The sequence below is a fragment of the Homo sapiens genome, chromosome 13, assembly GCF_000001405.40.
Source record: "Homo sapiens chromosome 13, GRCh38.p14 Primary Assembly".
Taxonomy (NCBI): Eukaryota; Metazoa; Chordata; class Mammalia; order Primates; family Hominidae; genus Homo; species Homo sapiens.
This window is the reverse complement of record NC_000013.11, coordinates 88,248,174-88,270,406: the sequence shown is the minus strand read 5'-3', so window position 1 is coordinate 88,270,406 and position 22,233 is coordinate 88,248,174. Positions and strand designations below refer to the sequence as shown.

The 22,233-nt window shown below is 32.7% G+C and overlaps 1 long non-coding RNA gene across 1 annotated transcript; it reads right to left on the bottom strand.

Moving 5' to 3' along the window:
• Positions 1–6,908: 6,908 nt before the first annotated feature.
• On the bottom strand, positions 6,909–16,658 carry LOC124903243 (uncharacterized). Its single transcript, XR_007063932.1, has 2 exons — positions 12,217–16,658; positions 6,909–10,005 (listed from the first exon to the last, which is right to left on the bottom strand). It is a non-coding gene; the product is annotated as an uncharacterized LOC124903243 (long non-coding RNA).
• Positions 16,659–22,233: the final 5,575 nt, after the last annotated feature.

Genomic DNA, 22,233 nt, shown 5'->3' with positions numbered 1-22,233 from the left:
AGAGAAGTTCATGCAATCAAAATAGAACACAAAAATTAGCATGAGGTCAGATATAAAAAAGATTTTTTTGCAATTCTAAAATATTTCTATGGTTAAATTTGTTTTCAAAACGGTTTTTGCTGGTAATAGACATAGAGAATGTTTTGTAATCATATACAGTTGTGAACCACTGCACGTTCTTACTTTTTTGTGGTTACTGATAATTATAAAGTCCTTGAATTTTCTTTTGCAAACGTGTTTGATTATAGAATTGGTATGAATTGTGCGGAGGCTGTAAGTTAAAAAAATAATGGGCCAAACAGGCCAAACAAAAGTGAATTACTTTACTTCATACATGTTGAAAGAAGAAAAAAACAGCTACAAAATTAAAGAGTTGCAGAAATCAGAATGTCTGTCCCTAGAACTAACTGAGATTAGCACTATGAAAATCCTTCTTAATCTCTCTCTCCCTGTTTTCCTATGGATATGTGGAATATATGGATAGATCTCTTTACATTGGCCTTTGGCTTTTGCCTATCCCAATATCACTTTATCACTTTTTTCTAGCAGGTACATGTTCCAAGTTCCAAGTCATGAAATCTCAGGGAGAGATATAAATGGTTAATCCAGATTACGTGTCCAACAATGTGTATGTATTAATGGTGGTGGTGGTGGGGAGGTATATCAGAGCAAGACAGAGAAGAATGGGGAAGCTTACTATCACACATGACTTCAACCACAGAACTGATTTTCATTAGCTCCTATTAATATGCTTTGGAATTCATTTCACACAGCACATGCTTACACAAGTGATGCATGAATGCATGGAGTTTATGTAAATAATTTCAAATTGGGCAATTATGACATTATAGTATGTCACAGAAAGATAACTCTGGATATGATTTAGACGATGGAAATAGTGTAGACAAATTAGAATTTGGGTAAACAAAGTTATTAATATCAAAGTCCTAAATGAGAAATACCAAGTAGAGGTCAATTAAAATATTTTAGTTCCTTAGATCCCTTCTACTTGTTACTTGAAAAGTAGAGAAATAACATTTGATTACTACTGAAAATGGTTGTTTAAATAGTTTTGAGTCTGAAAATGTACATACAACACTAAAAAGTACATGAAGTGTCTTCATAGCATATATCAACTTTTAAAATTTGGTCTACACGAATATTTAATGTTGTACTCTATAATGAGAATAACATCATAAGGTTAAAGAGATTTGGTCAAAGAAAAAGTACTGTTTTGCTAACACAATAAATGAAGATTGCATATTACATTTATATTTTCATATATTATGAAATTGCCTTAGCTATTTTTTTATTAGACAAATAGTTTGTAAAATTATTTGTATGCTAAGATATACTACAAAAATATCAACTGAAATATAATAAAAATCCCAATGACCCTGGGCAATTACAATGTGAAATCTCATTATAATTCATTTCAAAGAAAATTATATATTCTTTAAAAAAACTTTATTTTAGGTTCAGGGGTACATGTGCATGTTTGTTATATAGGTAAATTGTCATGGGGTTTTGGTGTATAGAATATTTCATCATCATTTACCCAATAGGTAGTTTTTTAAATCTCTCTTCTCTCACCCTTCACCCTCTGGGAGGCTCCAGTGTCTGTCGTTCTCTTATTTTTTCTCTATGTACTCAATCTTTAGCTTCTACTTATAAATGAGAACATGTGGTATTTGGTTTTCTGTTACTATGTTAGTTTGGTTAGGATAATGGCCTCCAGCTCTATCCCTGTTGCTGCAAAGACATGGTATCATTCCTTTTTATGGCTGTGTGGTATTCCATGGTGTATATATACTACACTTTCTTTGCCTAGTCTACCATCGATGGGCATTTAGATTGACTCTATGTCTTTGCCATTGTGAATAGTGCTGCAGTGAACATAAGGGTACATGTGTCCTTATAGCAGAACAATTTAGATTCCTTTGGGTGTATACACAATAATAAGATTGCTGGGTTGAATGGTAGTTATATTTCAAGTTCTTTGAAAAATTGCCACACTGCTTTCCACAATGGCTGAACTAATTTACATTATTCCCAGCAGTCTGCAAGTGTTCCCTTTTCTGCACAACATAGCCAGGCATCTGTTATTTTGTTACTTTTTCACTAAAGTGATTCTGACTGGTGTGAGATGTATCTCATTGTGGTTTTGATGTACACTTCTCTAATGATTAGTGATGTTGAGCCTTTTTTCATATGCTCATTGGCCTTGTGTATGTCTTCTTTTGAAAAGCATCCGTTCATGTTTTTTGCCCACTTTTTAATGGGGCTGTTTGTTTCCTTGTAAATTTGTTTAAGTTCCTTATAGATGATGGATATTAAACTTTGTTAGATCGGTAGTTTGCAAGTATTTTCTTCCATTCTCTACATTGTCTGTTTGCTCTGCCAGTAATTCCTTTTGCTGTGCTGAAGCTCTTTAGTTTGTCAATTTTCTTTTGTTGCAATTGCATTTGGCATTTTTTTCATGAAATCTTCGTCAAGGCCTGTGTCCAGAATGGTATTTCCTAGGTTATCTTCCAGGGTTTTTATAGTTTTAGGTATTATACTTTAGCCTTTAATCCATCTTGAGTTTATTTTTGTATACTATATCAGGAAAGAGTTCAGTTTCAATCTTCTGCATATGGCCAGTCAATTATCCCAGCATCATTTATTGCTTGCTTTGGTCCACTGTCAAGGATCATCAAAATACCATCATCATACTTCACAGAACTAGCAAAAACAATCCTGAAATTCATATGTAACCAAAAGAGAGCCCACATAGCCAAAACAATACTAAGCAAAAATAACAATCAAAACAATGACAACAACAAAAACAAAAACCAAAACTGGAAGTATCACATTACCTGACTTTAAATTATACTACAAAGGTATTGTTACCAATGCAATATGAAACTTGTATAAAAATAGGCATGTACACCAATGAAACAGAATAGAGAACCCAGAAATAAAGCCAAATACTTATAGTCAACTGATCCTTGACAAAGCATACAAAAACATAAATTGGGAAAAGGACATTCTATTTAACAAATAGTCCTGGGGAAACTGGCAAACCACAAGTAGAAGAATAAAACTGGACACCCAGCTCTCACTTTATATGAAAATCAACATACAATTGATCAAAGACTTAAATCTAAGACCTGAAACAATAAACATTCTGGAAGACAATTTCAGAAAAACTCTTCTAGACATTGGCTTACACAAAGAATTCATTACTAAGACCTCAAAAACATAAACAAAAATAAATAAATGAGAGCTAATTAAACTAAAAAGCTTCTGCACAGCAAAAGAAATAATTAGCAGAGTAAACAGACAACCCACAGAGCAGGAGAAAATATCCACAAGGTACGCATCTGACAAAGGACTAATATCCAGAATAGACAAGGAACTCAAACAAATCTGCAATAATAAAACAAATAATCCCATCAAAAAGTGGACAAAGGACATGAATAGAAAAATTCTCAAAAGAAGATATACAAACAGCCAACATGAGAAAAGATTCAACATGACTAATTATCAGGGAAATGAAAATTAAAACCACAATGAGATACTACTTTACACCTGAAAGAACGGCCATAATGTAAAAGCCACAACACAATGGATGCTGGTGTGGATGTGGTGAAAACAGAACACTCTTAGCCTGCTCGTGGGAATGTAAATTAGGACAAACACCATGGAAAACAGTAAGGAGGTTTTTAAGGAACAAAATATAGAATCCAGCAATCCAGCTCCTGGGTGTCTACCCAAAGGAAAAGATGTCATTATATGAAAAAGACACTTGCACATGCATGTTTATAACAGCACAATTCACAATTGCAAAAATGTGGAACCAGCCTAAATGTGCATCAACCAATGAGTGAATAAAGAAAATTATATATATATGTGTGTGTGTGTGTGTGTGTGTGTGTGTGTGATGTATGCATACATACAAATACACCATGGGATACTACTCAGACATAAAAGGGAACAAAATAATGGCATTCGCAGCAACCTGGATGGAGTTGGAGACCCTTATTCTAAGTGAAGTAACTCAGGAATAAAAAAATTAAAAAAAAATTTATGTTCTCACTTATAAGTGCAGCTAAGGTATGAGGATGCAAAGGCATGATGATATAATGTTCTTTAGGGACTCAATGGAGAAGGTTGGGAAGGAGACAAGAAATAAAAGAGTACACATTGGTTACAGTGTGCACTGCTCTGGTGACGGGTGCAGTAAAATCCCAGAAATCACCATGAAATAACTTATCCATGTAACCAAAAACCATCTGTATCCACAAAATTATTGAAATAAAAATAAAAATTAAAAGATGAAAATAAAAACAGATGGTGTGGTAGGTGTGTGGCATTATGTCTTGGCTCTCTATTCTGTTCCACTGGTCTTGGTGTCTGTTTTTGTAACAGTACTATGCTATTTTGATTACTGTAGCCTTGTAGTACAGTTTAAAGTTGGGAAATATGATACCTGAAGCTTTGTTTTTTTGCCTTTGATTGCCTTGGCTATCTGGGCTCTTTTTTGGTTTCATGTGAATTTTAAAATATATTTTTCTATTTCTGTGAAAAATGTCATTGGTAGTTTGACAGAAATAGCATTAAATCTGTAAATTATTTTGGACAGTATGGACCTTTTAACAATATTGATTCTTTCTTTCCATGAGCATGGAATATTTTTACATTTGTTTACATCATCTCTGTTTTCTTTCAGCAGTATTTTGTAATTATTATTGTATAGATCTTTCACCTTCATGGTTAGCTATATTTCTAGGTGTTTTATTCTTTTTGTGGCTATTTTAATGGGATGGCATTCTTGATTGGGCTCTCAGCTTGGACATTGTTGGTGTATAGAAATGCTACTGATTTTTGCACATTGATTTTGTATCCTGAGAATTTGCTGAAATTGTGTATCAGATCTAGGAGTTCTTTGGAGGAGACTATGAGGTTTTCTAGGTATAAAATTATATTACCTGCAAACAGAGATAGTTTGCCTTCCTCTCTTCCTATTTGGATGCCTTTTATTTCTTTCTCTTACCTGATAGCTCTGGCTAGAGCTTCTAGTACTATGTTGAATAGAAGTGGTGAGTGGACATCCTTGTCTTGTTCCAGTTCTCAAGAGGAAAGCTTTTAGCTTTTGCCCATTCAGTATGATGGTTGTAGATTTCTCATAGATGGCTTTAATTATTTTGAGGTATGTTCCTTCAATGCCTACTTTTTTGAAGATTTTTAACATGAAAGTATGGCAAATTTTATTGAAAGTCTCTTCTGCATCTATGGAGATAATCATGTGGTATTTGATTGTAGTTCTATTTATGTAAATAAATCACTTTTTTTATTTGCATATGTTGAACCAACCTTGCATCCTAGGGATAAAGTCTATTTGATTGCGTTGGATTAGCTTTTTGATGTGACGCTGGATTCAGTTTGCTAGTATTTTATTGAGGATTTTCGCATGTATGTTCATCAAGGATATTGGCCTAAAGTTTTCTTTTTGTGTGTGTGCTTCTGCTAGGTTTTGGTATCAGAATGATGCTCACCTTTGAGAATCATTTAGAGAGGAGTACCTCCTTTTCAGTCTGTTTTTGGAATAATTTCAGTAGGTGTGGTACCAGCTTTTCTTTATACCTCCGGTAGAATTCAGCTGTGTACCCATCTTATTCTGTTTTTTTGTTTTTTTTTTTTTTTTTCTGGGTAGTAGGCTTCTTATTACTGACTCAATTATGGAACACATTATTCTTCTTTTCAAGAATTTAGTTTCTTCTTGCTTCCATCTTGGGAGGTTATATGTTGTAAGTTTTCTAATGTGCGTACATAGAGATTTTTGTAGTAGTCTCTGAGAGACTTTATATTTCTGTAGGGTCAGTGGTAATATCCCCTTTGTCATTTATGATTGTGTTTATTTGGATCTTCTCTCTTTTTCTATATTAGTCTATCTAGCAGTAAATCAATCTTATTTATTCTTTAAAAAAATTCCTGGATTCCTTGATCTTTGGTATGTTTTGTTGTATCTCAAATTCTTTCATTTCGGCTCTAATTTTGGTTATTTCTTGTCTTCTCCTAGCATTGGAATTGGTTTGTCCTTGTTTTTCTAATTCCTCTAGGAATGATGTTAAGTTGTTAATGTGAAATCTTTCTAATTTTTTGATAAAACCTCTTAACACTGCTTTAGCTGTGTCCCAGAGATTGTGCTATCTTGTATCTTTGCTCTCATTAGTTTTAAAGAATTTCTCGATTTCTGCGTTAGTTTCATTATTTTTCTAAAAGTCATTCAGAAACAGGTTTAATTTCCGTGTAATTGTATGGTTTTGAGCTTTTGTGTTGGTTTCTGTTTTTATTGATCTATGGTGAAAGTATGTGGTTGGTATGATTTTGGCTTTTTAAAATTTGCTGAGTATTGTTTTATTGCTGAATGTATGGTTGATTTTAGATGATATGCTATGTGCAGATGAAAAGAACATCTATTCTGCTGTTTTTGTATGGAAAGTTCTGGAGATTTCTATTGAGCTCCTTTGGCCAAGTGTCTAGTTCAGGTCCCAAATATCTTTGTTAGTTTTCTGCATGGATGATCTGTCTAATACTGTCAGTGCAGCATTGATGACCCCCAGTATTACTGTGTGGTTATCTATGTCTCTTCATAGGTCTCTAAGAACCTGCTTTATGAATCTTGGTGCTCTTGTGTTGAGTACATATAAATCTGGAAAACTTAGGTCTTCTTGTTGAATTGAACCTTTTACCATTACATAATGCTCTTCTTTGTCTTTTTTATCTTTGTCACTTTGAAGTCTGTTTTGCCTGAAATTAGAACAGAAACTCCTGCTTTTTTCCGTTTGTTTGGTAGATATTTCTTTATCTGTTTACTCTGTGCCTATGAAAGTTATAAGTTTAAATAATAATACTGAATTTGCTTTAATTTTAACAGCTTTATTGAGATATAGTTGATATGCAAAGAACTTCACATGTTCAATGTGTACAATTTAATGAGTTTGGACATATGCAAACACCCGTAATACCATCATCACCACAATCAAGGTAATGGATGTGTTCAATATCAACCAAAGTTGCCTTGTGTCCGAGTGTGTATGTGTGTGTGTTTTTAGAATACTTAACATGAAATCTATTATTTAACAAATTTTGAAGTGCACAACACCATATTGTTAACTACAAGAAATGTGCTTTATAAGAGATCTCTGGAACTATTAATCTGGCATAACCAAAAGTCTAGTTTTAAAATAAATTATCCACAAACATACTTTTATCAGAGAGAGATAGAGAGACATAAAAAGAGGGAGAGAAACACAAAGTATCCAAATATTCCTAGTTGTCACAAATGTTCAACTTTAGCTTTAAAGATTTTTAAAAATATTTTTAAGTGGTCTACATGATCCATAAGTAAATTTCAAAACCCAAAGAAATACATAAATATTATTTACAATGTTAACTCCAAATTTTTGAGAGATATGTTTAAAGAATATGTAGAATCAGAGGTGGGGGTTAGGAAAAACACCTTCATGCATGGCAATTTTCCTCAATTTATGAAGAGCTCAGTTGTTGCCCTTAAATTGATTATTCCACAACAGTTTGCAAGAATGAGAGAACCTATTAGTATGAATTACCCTATGTACCCTTTAACAGCATCTCCACAAAAGGAAGATTATTGTTTCAGTTTCAGGGAAAAAAAATGTTTACACTGAGATAATGGGGGCAACTAGGCACGTCTCTCTTTTCATGGAACTTCTATGTTAGTGGGCGGTAAACTAGAAATAAATTTAGTAACAATAGCAAATGGTGACATAGATGAAGAAAAATAATAAATAAAAAAAGACAATTTTAGATTGGGTAGTTTAACAAGGCATCTCTGTTTATATGTTTTGAAAAAGAAACCTGAATGCACTGAGGTAGGAAGCTATGAAAACAAATGAGGGAAGTGAGCTCCAAACAGATGAACTGTATGTTCAAATTTCCTGATGTGGACCCAGATATAATTGTGTTTGAAATTTACCAAGAAGGCCAATTTAACTTAAAGTTATAAGAGATAATGATAATCACTGTAAGTAGCATACTAGGTACTTTGTTTATACTACACTTCTAAAATCCTAGGCCTTATTAACTCATTTATGTTAATTTATTTTATAATCACCATGATCCTCTGATGTACATATTATTATGATCTGTGTCTTATAAAGAAACTGATAAACAGACAGGTTAAGTAACTTTTTCAAGGTTTTTACCTGACACATATGGGATCCAGATTTCAAACCCAAAGCAGTGTGACTCCAATGTCATGCTCTCATTCGCAAATGTTTAATAAATTTTAGATAGATAAATGATAGTTACTCATGTAGATACAAATGTTGCATTCTACTTTCATGTCCATTTCAAACATTACAAATTATAATGTTGTAAGATCTTTTTACTGAGCATCATATTTAAATATGCTTAAGTATGATCCTTTGGTTGAAAAACAGAATTTGTACATCAAGATATTGTCTTCATTCAGAAGTTCATACAAGTGATATGCTGCCATATTATTTTTTTAACTTAATGATAAAAGGAGTCAACAGTTTTTTCTCTATCTCAAGTATATATAATTTGTTACAAAAATTCAGTTTTGTTAACATTACTGTACTACTGTATAAATCAAATGTAAACTATGCGCTTGGACATTTAGGTATCAGATTAAACTTAATCCAAATCATAATCTTATGAATGTATAGCACTCCAGAAGAAGGATTCAAAATTTCTGTAAATCACTGCCTGCTCTTTTTTGTCTCCATTATGTCTTGGCTGTAAAATCCAGCCCATTCATTGATTTCTGTGAAAACTAATTCATTCACACTCAAGCTATGAGGCTGATAACTTTTCAAAAGTTTCATGATTCTTCTTGTAGCTCATGAATCCACAATATTTTCATGTTCTTTTTTCTTCACCTCACGCAGAAACCTGCAAATGCTTTCCAAGTATTGTGCAGAAAATTTCATTTGACAATCAGGCCCAAAAAAGGGTCACTTAATAACTTATGGAAGAATCAAGTAGTTTGTTCCCTCCTCACCTGCACATGGGCACATACACACACACACACTAACCCGCTATCCAAAGTGAAATTCCCTTTCTAAAAATGGTAGTGGAAAATACAAATAACTCTGTCTAATAACAATTATTCAGAAATCCTATGCCAAAATTACATCCTTTAAATTATAACCAGGAAATGCCAAATACTTCCAGATACATTTTTAAATAGTTTGCCTGGTTTATATGGTGCCACTACAAGTATACCTTTAAGTTAGGACAATGTTGGGGATACTGAGTTTGGTCTTTCAATGTAGTTGGAAAATTCACATAGAGAATGGTCAGCCTTGGGCAGCTTTTCTAGAGTCATCTGATTATGTAACTAGAAAGTGTATTGGGCAAAATAGAGAAGGAGTAGAGTTGACTTGGAAGTGAGCATGAAGAGGTGAAAGCATAGTAAAGAACAAATTGAAGCCCATTTGATTACTGAAGATGAACAGGGCAGGATGTTCAAGAAGAGAAATAAATTTATAGTCTGATTGCCTGCATGTTACCAGGGCCCTGAGCTGTGTGCTCTAGACTCTAGAAATGTACTAAATATTTAGACAATTTTAAATGGACATAAAGTTGCCATGCCATTTGCAAAGTATAAGACTTCTCAATTTCAGAATAGGTTAGAAATTGTGTATTAGGGATGAGGGAGTTGTGAAATGGGATTTTGTTGTTGACTGTTTCCGGGATTTGTACATTACTATTTTAACAAATGTAAGTGAGAAATTGGCTTGAGTTATTTATGTGTTGTCCTAGTCCGTTTGTGCTACTATAATGGAATATCATAGACTGGGTAATTTATAAGAAAAGAAATGCATTCTTTATAGTTCTGGAGACTGGGAAGTCCAAGATGAAGGCATCAGCAGATTTCCTGTCCGGTGAGTGCTGCACTCTGCTTCCAAGATGCACCTTGTTGCATTTTCTGGAGGGGATAAATGTCATGTCCTCAAATGGAAGAGAGGAGAGAAAGATTAATTTGGCACCTATGGTCCTTTATTAGGCACTAATCCTTTTCTTGAGCTTAGCGCTCTCATGCCCTAATCACTTCCCAAGGCCTCATCTGCTGATATTGTTGCATTGGTGATTAACTTTCCATATGTATTTTGGAGGCAAAATGAACATTCAAACCATAGCATAATTACTGCAATAAGAGAGGTAAAAGAATATTATAAAGCCCTTCCTGAACACCAATTAAGAAGTGTTGGGGTCTACTTAGATTCTACAACACAAAGGCTGTGTCTTGCAATATCATTTTTAGGAATCATTGACCTTTCATATCCTTGTTTTCCATTATTTGTTTAATGTAGTAACCTCTTTCTGAAGTATAGCATCATACTCTGAAAACAAATGTCTTACATATGTAAAAGTACCTTAAAATACTTGAACATGAAACAAATTGTCTTTTTTTATATTGTATGTGCTGAATGTAATGCTATTCCATTACCATTTAAAATCTGTTACACCATATACATTAAACTGCATTTAGTTGATCTGTGATATTCACCACAGCAACTTTATTTCAAGATTCTTGTCTCACATGGAAAATATTTCCAGGTTGACAGAGAGAAATATTCATGTAGATATTCAGAAGATTTCAACCATAATGGCAAAAAGAAGGTTGAAAATGACAGGACATGGTTTGTCATGGGAAGTGGTTCCAAAAGAGTGAAGTTAATAATATATAGGACAGACTTTCAATCAGCCAGCTGTCTCAGATCAGCTAGGAAATGGTCTTGACAGACAAATCTGTGAAGTAGTTGCCAGATGTTTGACACTTAAATATTAAAGTGGGTCACCAATAACTTTCTTGATTCACAAGGTTTCCAAAGTGGATAATATCACAGACTTTTAACACTGAAATCAGAGAAACTTAAAGCTGGAGGAACTCGAGTACTGACAGTGAGTACTTGCCAAGCACATGCATGGTACTACAATTAAGGACAGTTTTAAATAGTATCAATAATTTGTGAGAGATATTCTAAATACTTTTGGCAAACTAAAACTAGAGAAATTCTTTTCTTCCATACTGGCTAATGAAATAGATTTTTAACTCTTTCCCATTTAGAAAAAAAAAAAAGTGCAGCTACCTGCCAGTGCTGATTTAATTTTACATAAACATTCTCTTTGAGGCTGAGGCAAATCTGACTGATTTTCAATGTGAAAATAAAACATAAAAACTATCCTTAGAGTTATTTCTAAATAGAACTAAAATCAAAATCATCAGAACCATCAGAATCATCTATTTTGGAAAAATCAGACTCTTGAAACTTTGGCCAGCAACTGAGAACGATGTTAACATCACGCCTAGGAATGCTATACTTTCTGGCATTTGACATTTTAATAATAAAAGCGAGATACTTTGTGGCAAAATTATCTCTGGGTAAATGCTGCAGCCAGCAAGTGCCACCAGCAAGTATTCTTGGGACAAATGGGAAAAGGGTTAAAAATAGAAAAACAATGATAAAGTATACCAACAAGAGAAATAGAAGAAAGTATAACCTAAAGAAATTAATTTTATAACATGATGATCAATAAAAAAAACCTAGAACTCTACCATGAAGAGTGCCAAGAGGTAGTGATTCAAGGCTCACATCCTCAACCTCTGTGAAAAGGTAGCCACTATGATTGCCCCAGTTGTCTTATCTCCTGGTGTGCATTCATTATAAATGAGCCACTTGAGTGTGGAGTGGACATATTGGCTCATTTATTAAAAAAAAAAAACGTGCTAGAAATTTTGAGGTATCTCAATACTAGGTTATAAAAAGACATTGGCTTCCATCTTGGGATCTCTTCCCCTCTCTCTCTCCCCGTCACTCACATTAGGGTAAGTAAGATGCCTTGCTATGAGCATCCTCCTAGAGAGCCCCATGTGGCATAGTGAGAAACTTTGTCCTTCAGTCTAACATCATATGAAGAACCGAAGCAAACGACCACATGAATGAGCACAGAAGTGAATCTTTCAGCCCCAGTTGTCTTCAGCTGACTACCACCCCGGGTGATAGCTTCACTTCAACATTATGAGAAAACACTGAGAGACAACCACAGAGCTAAGCTGCTCCTGGATTCCCTACTCACAGAACTGTGAAACAATGTTTTGTTTTGTAAACTTCTAAGTCTGAGGTTATCTTGCTATACAGAAATAGGTGGTTAATTTACCTGCAGAACCCAGAAGTCACGCTGGAGAGTAGATGAGTAGCTCCTAGGAGGACAAATCTACCCAGAAGTGCAATGGACAAATAAGGGAAGAACCCATGTGCCTGATGATCCATGGCAGGGAAAGAGGCTCCTGGACCACGTTGGAATTAGAAGATATATTATAAGAAGATATATTATACTCTTATAACAAGATAAGAAAAAGTAATCTTACAAAACATTAACCAGCAAATATTTTTTTAAAATGACCATATGCCACCGCAGCTATTTACATCTCCCATCACACACTCCAGTCTGACTCAGTAGAAAAACAAGAGTGAATTGAAAAAGAAATGCTCATTCATTCAACTGTGACGAGGGTGGACAATAATTTTTCAGTTACCATAAGAACCAAAATGTTATTTATTCATACCTCAGAGATTTGTTAGTTTGAGCAAAATAAAAAGAATGGGCATGCCATCTACCAATATGCATTCCCTACTCCCTATCACCACCAAAGGAAAAGGATTATAAAAAAGGAAAGCTAAAGAAGGTAACAGAATTTGAGATTGTGAAAGACTAAACAAACAACTTTACATAGAAGAATACAGAGAGCTATTAAAAAGCTACACCCTCCCCTCCAAAAAACACCCACCAGGCTTATAAAGTTTTTAAGAAAACTCCTACCATATGTTCAATTTCCAGGTAGTTTTACTGTATCATAAGTTGTCATAGAACATTAACAAAGAAGAAAACATTCTGTACTTATTTTTCTTAAGCAAGTATAACATCAATATCTAATCCTGATAAACATAGTAACATTAAAACTGCAGAATATCATTATTAATATCTATGCAAAAATACTTAATATTAGTAAACTGAATCCAGCACCACATTAAGAAAATACTATGAACTGTGAACAACTGTGATTTATTTCAAGGATGTATGATTATTTGAGTTTTGAGAAATCTAGTAAAATGTTGTAACACATTAATAACTTGAAGGATAAAAAAGACATAAATTATTATTTTCAGCATAATCTCTGAAAAAGCTTTGAAAATGTTAAATATGCATTTATGATAAAATAAGAAAAGAAGAAATGAGGTTCATGCACATAACATAAAGATTAAAAATAAAGGGTTTCTTTCCACCCTCTGTGTCTCAAAGTGGCTCCTCATCCCACACTTCAAGCCAGAAAGTATTTTGAAGTGCTTCTGTCAGTGCTCAATATGCAGTTTTAGGATTTGCTCTGCCATTGTGTCTAGACCAGAAGATAACAGAGAGGGAAAATTCCTATGAAACTCATGGGGTTATTTATTGTTTAAGTATTTGTTTTCTACCCTAATCTACCTACTCCAATTTGGTATTAAGAATTTTCAGATAGTGGCTCCACTCTTTCTTTGAGGATCTTTAGATACATTTATGCATAGAGGCAGGGTGAAGTATGATTGCTTTATCTTAATAAGAACTTGAAATCTGTTTTTACTCTCAGCTAATTGATATTGCGTGCAGTATACAGAAGTATTTTAATCATTTTCTCATTTGTATTCATCACTTAATTCCTATTGATCACGAAATTGTAAGAAAAATAGGAGACATGATCTAGTTTAAGCCCTCATAATTTCACTTTTCTAGATGTTCCTTAAGAATATCTAAGAGTAAGCCAATTGTGATGGCTCATGCTTATAATCCCAGCTACTTGGGAGGTTGAGGAGGGGTTGCTGAGGCCAGGAGTTCAAGACCAGCCTGGGTAACATAAAAAACAAAACAAAACAAACAAACATAAAGTTTAGGGATGAAGAAAACAGCAGAGACATAGGTTTTATACTTCAAAATTCCCTCCCTAAAAAACATCGGAGCGACTATTCTAGCAAAACAGAAATCTAAAAGACAATATCTATAGCAAAACTAGATGAAAATATATTTTCACTATTCTCACAATCAGCACTATTGGGCAAATCACAGCTGGCAAAAAACACATATGATTTCACTAAGTTGTGGAAGGAAAGGCAAGAAAGAAAATAAACTTTTGGTGTTTTCAAAACACTGAAAAAATTAGAAAATCAAAACCAAAATCCCCAAATTAGAAAATCAAAAATATGATCACAAGGTCGATTCTGGGGAGTTCTCTCTTCCGTCTAACAGCAGCAGTCAAACCTGGGTTTCTCCAGACTTCTGTTAATGGGCTAAACAAATTAGTGATTGTTTGGAGCAAAGAAAATGTGCATAAAAACTCTTAAGACCTAAAGTTAATTGAAAATGTAAAGACTATATTTCCTAATTCTATCCTTTACAATTTTAAATGATGATTAATTCAGTAGAAACAAGCAACCCTAGCATCCAGATTTAGGTTTCTCATTGCCATTTCCTCCTCAATGCAACCAATACTATTAAGAGATGTGTTGGGGCAAGGTGTGTTCAAGATGAGCCTGGTAGACTTCTAATTTTATAATGAAAAAACCCTATCACTACTTGTATTTTGTCAAGAGGACACAGGCAACAACTTGAAGTGATTCCTAATGATCAATGAGATAAATTAAGCATCAGTAAGAACACAGCCAAAAAATATTGAATCACATCAAATACATTAAAATCAATGAATCTATAATTATGTTAAGAAATGAAAATACTTTGATCAATTTTGGAGGATTCTAGGATATCAATTCATTCTGAAAACTAACCATTATAGACAAATATTAAGTATTTAACCTTTCATTTTTCACAAGATAATCAAATTGTACATAATGAGGAACTTTTTAATATAGAAAATCCAACTATTAAATCAGAAAACAATAACAAGATTTTAATATCATCAATTTCAAACTGCTAATAAATCAATTAATCTCATAATAATTAAATTACCAAAATAAAAAGAGACAATGGATGTGATTTTCCTCATCATGAAAGTACACAATTTCACCTGTGAAGTATTCTTGCAAAAATATTTAAAGTTAAATTAGATAGTGCATTGCAGTATTACCAACAATTTACAAAAAATAAGCATAAAATATGTTAGGAAACAGAAGTGCAATCAGCAAAATTCAGACTGCGAGAAATTCTATAGAGAACAAGACTCAGTTTCTTCAACAAATAAATACAAAGACAAAAAGGAGAGATGAAGATTAAATTGCTGGATTAAGCGAGAGAATTTAGACTTAGTAACAGATTACAATAAATAAGCTTTATTTTATGTTATAATTCAAGCTATTAAAATCTATTATAGAACATGGGAACATGAATAGATTAAGTAATATGATATTTGCTATTAGCTTCAAAGTCTTCAGGTATAGTCTTGGTAGAGAATAAATTGGGGATATAAATGAAACAAAACAAGACATCACTTAAAGGGTGTTGAAACCTGGTAATGAGTGCCTAGACATGAATTGTACTAGATTCTCTATCCTTGTACATTATTTTAATTTTCCATTAATAGTTTAAGAAACTCAAAATGTAAAGTTACTGATAATTGATCAGAACTAAGTATAAAAGCTAATGTGAATTCAGACATGTTTACGGCTGAAAATTAATTATTTTCAAGGTTTTTATCTACTGTGATATTAACTCTTATAAACTTATTTCCATAATTAAAAGAGTGCTATGTAAACTAAGATTTATAGTTCTTACTGAATATTAGGTATTAAGAACATTTCGGCAGTGATCCAAAGCCTTTTTGAAGACAAAGAGGAATTATAATCACTTACTGATCTGCTAAGAGATTCTTACAGGAAACCTGAGAAAGCTCATACACCTCAACATATTCAAAGGACTGATGTATATTTATTATGTGTAATTTAAAACATTTTTCCTTTCAACATAGCATTATTTGGTAATAATATTGTAAATTCATAGCTCCAATTAGAATCACTTCATTTAAATATGTGCTCATAATCACTCAATTCTGAGTAAATGTAATTACAAATGAATAGGAATAATTAAACCTATTTTTGAAAGGTACTTTTTAATATATTGCTATCTCTTTTGGGTTTATTTTTCTCATTTTAAAAAGCAGTGATCCACAAAAACATTCATACATAAACTCTCGTTTCATCAATCCCAGAAAATTTCAGTTAATTTCTCACTTTCACCACACTTCCAATACCCAGCTTTGTTGGGAAAAGCTGCAATAGCTTACATAGAGCAGAGCTCTGGAAGCAGAAAACACATTTTGCAACATAATGCAGAAGTTTAAAAACTTCTTGTTTGATTGTATTCATATATAAATAAATTTAATTTACTTTCTTGCATGTTTAATAAAATATTTCAATGGCCAATCTGTTTAATGTTAAAAGCTAATTGGAAAGATCAAACTTCTAACTTCCTGACTACATGAAACACAGTTCCACTGAGGGCCATTGGTTGAATACTCCCAGTGCCTTACATAATTTGCCTTATTATATGCATCTATTTACATAGATTTTGCATCTGTCTCTGTGCAAATTAAAAAAAAAAAAAAGAATGGCTTACTCACTGCTGAGTACAAAGGCATTTGATTTTTCCATGCATTTGAGGACATAAGGTACTGTTAGTTATCAGCCCTTCAACAGCATTAAGATCCTGAAAATTATTTTTTCTTATCATTTTTTTATTTGCCAAATTTAGTGCCATTTTGCTTATTTTCACCTAATTAAAGTCCGGTATCAAAAATTTGTCTAAATTAAGACAAATTGGCTGGGCATGGGGCTCATGCATATAATCCCTAGAATTTGGGAGGCCAAACCAGAAGGATCACTTGAGCCTAGGAGTTCCAGACTAGCCTGGACAACATAATTAGACTTCTTCATTTAAAAAAAAAAGAGAAAAAGGAGCTGGGCATGGTGGCCTGTGCCTGTAGTTCCAGCTAAATGCTGAGGCTGAGGCTGGAGAAATCTTGAGCCTAGGAGGTTGAGGCTGCAGTGAGCCAAAATGAGGCCACTGCACTCTAGTCTGAGAGGGTCTCACTCTGTTATCTTACTTTTAATAAAGTAAATTAACCCAAGTTGATCTGAATATATCACTGCTACTTAATTAATTTATTTATGCTATCTCAAAGTCTATCATTTCAATTTATTGTTAATGCTTATTTTTGGCCTTTTGTCCCCACCTTCCTTGGTTAAAGGTATCCAGATGTCATGCAGTCATTTCTTTACCCTTTCCAAATTATACATTCTAAAGCACTCTTAAAGTACTCTATGCACAATGTTAAGCTTTTCTATAATATCAAGATTGTATTCTTTTTAATTGACATGAGTAACCCAAGATCATATGAAATGTACTTTTAGAATTGTCTCAATCCTGGAAGTTAGACATATTTCTCTATTCAATCAAGATTTTCTGCCAAAATGTTACATGGTCCTTTAGATTCTACATGCTAGATTGGCAAATAGAGACTCTTTGTGACTATTATCATGTCTCCATATTTTACTGCAAATTCCTCTTTCTACATAAATCCAACAGTCACATGTTTTTATCTTGTAAGAATCACCATTTTATTCACTCTCCATTCTGGTCCAGCTGCTTCTCAATAATACTGCCCAAGTTAATCTTGTTATTCTTATCCTGTTAAAAAGTCATTAATACTTTATTTTCATGAAATCTGTAAATTTGCCTATTTTAAAATAAATCAAGTGGGTATTTGCATAACAAATATGCACATAACCTATGTATGCTCCTAAATAAATTTAAAAGTAAATTGAACTTAACACATTTCAAATAAGGAAGCACTACTTTCTAAATATTTATATTTCTTTGTGAACTATTACTTCAGGTTTCTCAAATTAATCATAATAATTAAAAAATTAATTCGGGACAGAATCAAATTATTAGAAGAGAGAACAGAATTTACAATAAATTCAAGTAATAAATATGATTATCATATTTATATAATTTATATTATAGATTTATAATTACAGAAAGACAGCCTTTACATTTTCAGAAACACAATATTAGCTTCTTAAACTTTCTTCTTCACTGATTCAGTAGGTTGTTTGTTCATAGTATCAATGATATATACTGCTTTAATATGGATGATATAGAGTGGCTATTATAGCATTTTTTTTTAATTTTCAAATTTTTAAATTTGACTAGCAAATTGTTGACAAATGAAATAATTATTATTTTCTGGCTTCTCAGACTGTATTGAAAACCAAACAAAATAAAACCCAGACAGACTCCCTCAATCCTGGATGGCTTTAGTTCAACCAATAATACCTGTAGGCCCATAAATTACTCTACTTTACTTAAAAGAAAAAAGAAAAGTTCAAAAATAAATAGTATAATAGTTCAGAGGAAAAAGGCTAAGTGTTCAGGAACTTGATAATGCTTAAGGAAATTTTGAAGATTCACCATAATGATGTACCATGCAGTTTTTCTTTCAGCAAAGATATCTTGAACAGATTCCATGGATCAGCCACTAAAATATAGGATGAGGAAAAAAAAATTAATGACTAATACACAATTTCTTATTTCAGGAGCATCAAAGCCCAATGGAAAAGATGAATACATACACATAATGCCAATAAATTTTATAGTTGTAACAGTCTTATGCAAAATGTGTTATTAGAAAATTGACTCTTTTTACAAGTCTTAATATTTTCAAAAATAGTTACTGAATAATTTTAAACAAGAAAATTAAATTACAAAAGCATTATACAATAAGATTTCAATGAAGAAAAATTATAATAGGAGAAAAACCTTATTAAAAATCAGCAATAATTATATCCATGAGGCTGCATTAATAGAATATTCTGAATATTTATTCCTGTTTGAAATTTGCATTTTCATGGTTGTATTTATATATACATATATATATATATATTTGCACTAGAAAATCAAAATTACAAGTCATAGGAAAAATTGGTGCAGGCTTTACATGTATATGATGAAGCAGGAGGACATGTAGGCTATAGTTGCTATAGTATGGTTAAAAAAATAAGGATGTAAGATATTAACAGGCAAATTATTTAGTTAGTTTTTAGCTACATAGAAAGGACATAATTATTGCTTCATAGCATCCAGTTTAAATTTTTGAAGTGATGTTATTCAAGTCAAAAAAAGGAGCCCCAAATTATGAGAAATACTTTCTCAAACACTGCATTTGAGGTGCCTGTTGAATATGCAAATTATGACTTCCCAGAGACAGTTGATTGTAAACCATTAGAGCTCAGAAGAGATATATGGTCCAGAAGCATAATTTGAATGTGTATGTATGTTTAGTATTTGAAATACTGTTTATATACAATACGTTTCTAAGAAAGCTGTGTAGGAACTAAAAGCAGAAACTCAAGAAAGAAAGATGAGGAAAAGAGGCCAAATAAGAGCATTCAAAGAGTAATGGGACAAAATATCTATAAATGCTGGTAGAAAAGAAGATAGAATATGACAGAAGTTGTGTCTAAAGAACCAAAACATGTAAAAGTTTTAAATTGAGAAAGTGTGTTTATGATTATAATGGTAAATTAAGCAAGATATTTCTTCCTTGGTATTCTAATGACCCATACAATTTTATAAAAATGATAAGACCTATATCACTGCTAGAAAGTCAGTTAACTGCAGTTCAGAAAGAACCAGCTTTAGGGAGATAAGCACACATTTACTTACAAATTTTCCCCTTAAAAATGCTGCAACAACCAGGGGAAATGCTGTAACAACACCAAACATACATCCAGATTTGATGCACAAAGAACAAATAGAACGATTCTCAGTAGTATCTCTTTCACAACAGTGACTCATGGTAGTTAAGTTACGAGGCTTTTGGCTATTCACATCAGCACCCCCAAGCAAAACCATGCTATTGGACAAGGGCTTCTTGATGAAACATGGCTTCTTCCAAAATATGATGCTATAAAAAGGTGGAAGAGGGTAATTGGGATAGTAATTGGACGAAACTGAAATTGGTTCACAGAAAACATGGCCTCTGGCACAGCATTCTCACCAAACAGAGAATACATTATATGAATATGAAATTTATTTAAATGACTTCCTAGGGCTCTGGGTGACTGTCAACTTGCTCTGAGTTCTGCATAATTGAACTGGCTTTCAAAATTTACATTTACCAAACTCTTCCTCCTTAGTATTTTAGAGGATGATGCTAATGAAAACCAATTGGATAGTTCTAGTGTTTTAGAAAAATCTATACTTTTCCAGTAAATGTTAGGGTTGGATTGATCTCTCTTCTTTCAACAGTGAATAAAAGGAGAGCAAATGATCCTTCCTAAAAAGTGTATAAAATGTGTAGAAATAGGAGCATAAAACTTTTTGAAAAGTATATAATAGAATAGCTATATATATATAAATATAGCTATATATATAAATATAGCTATATATATAAATATATATATATATTTAGATAGAGCCTTCTTTGAATCCTATTCACATTTAAAAATATATGGAATTTGGGAATCAAAATCTTGAAAGATTAAATAACTTATTACCAGACCAAAATACAGATGGAGTTTAAGAGAGTGAAATAAATCATTTGTGGGCCTTAAAAGTGAAACAATAAGAATAAAATCTGCATTAGATACCATAAAGGCAGAATTAACACTGAAGAAATGTAATCATTGATGAAGGCCTTTGAAATAAATCTCTCCAGGATACAGAAGCAAAAATAGAAATTAGAAAAATTGGTACAGTTGACAGGACATACGGATCTGAAATGTGGATAATTAATGTTCAGTAAAGACTACAGGATAAATTCACAAGGACTTTATTTAAAAATATTTTAAAAGTATAAAACTTTACTAAAATTAGAAGCAATATAACATTGCAGATATAAAAGTAACCATTCATTCAAAATTGAGGGAAAGAAAATAACTTTGAGGAATAGCATTTTTAGTGTTAAGGATAAAAGAAGTTTATGTTGCTCAGGCAAAAATTATTTACAAAATTATAAAAAGCAAATTTTAGATCCACATCCTTAAATTTTAAAAATAAAAAATGCAGCAACATTTGCAGAAGAATGAAAGTAAAGCAAGGGTGTAAAATACTTTTTCAAAGAGATAAATAACATAGTGCTCAGTTTGGCTTATAGTAAGCAAAAATAAATGTTCAATGAAGAAAGAGAGAAGTAAAATTAAAAATGACCCCAAAAGGAAAAGAAAGAAGTGAAGATTAATATGAATACAAAATTCACTGTAAAAAAGAAAATTTGGTGGTTAGTACAAGAACTGATGAAATAAATATTGTGCATATCCTTAAATAACTAGTATGGCAGAATGTCAAATTTATGAGTAGATAGTTAAGGAAAAAACAGCATACTTACATTAACATCAATATATTTAATACTAATAAGCAATTGTACTCCAAGAAGCAGGAAGATAGAAAGAGCATTAGGTAGAAAAAAAAAAACTGGCTTATTCTCCTATGTTTATTTTACATAGGAAAGAACCAGAAGTTCTTTGACATTTTATAATTAATGAATAATAATTCTCACTAAAAAAAATATTAGGCAGCAAATCTGTTCATCCTCCTGGGTAAGAGGAAAACACACTGCAGCTGGAGGTGGTGGGGAGTTAGCAAAAAAAAAAAAATGCCATTTGCATAAAACTGTCCTGTGTTTAACCCATTACAATCTGCTACAACTGGGTGAGGGGTAAGATGAATGAGAAATCCCCACCGTGGACAGTCAGCAGGCAAGCAACAGCAGGTGGCAAGACACAGTAGTCTACCGCTGAGCGACAGGCAAGCGGATGGAGAGAGGCTCTCTTTTAGGGCAGATATAGAGGAAAAGTCTGAAGCTGCTGATGGCAGAGAAGAAATATTAAGAAAAACCCTCCAGTATACCAACCTTAACTAAGGTAATGCCAGAAGAATGTGAAGCCTACACTGAAGGTAACCATAACAACAATAAAGTCCCAACCTAGCTCAACTCTTGACAGCATTCATCTAACCCCCCCACTTGCATCCAAGCAAAGACAGATACTATTTCAAGGCATATTCTTTATATATCTCAGCTTCTAATATTCTACATACTATGTTCAGAAATCAATTAAGAAATTCAAACTCGAACAGGCCAGAATAAAACAACTTTTTGTCAAGAGGTGAGATGATTAACAACAACATTCA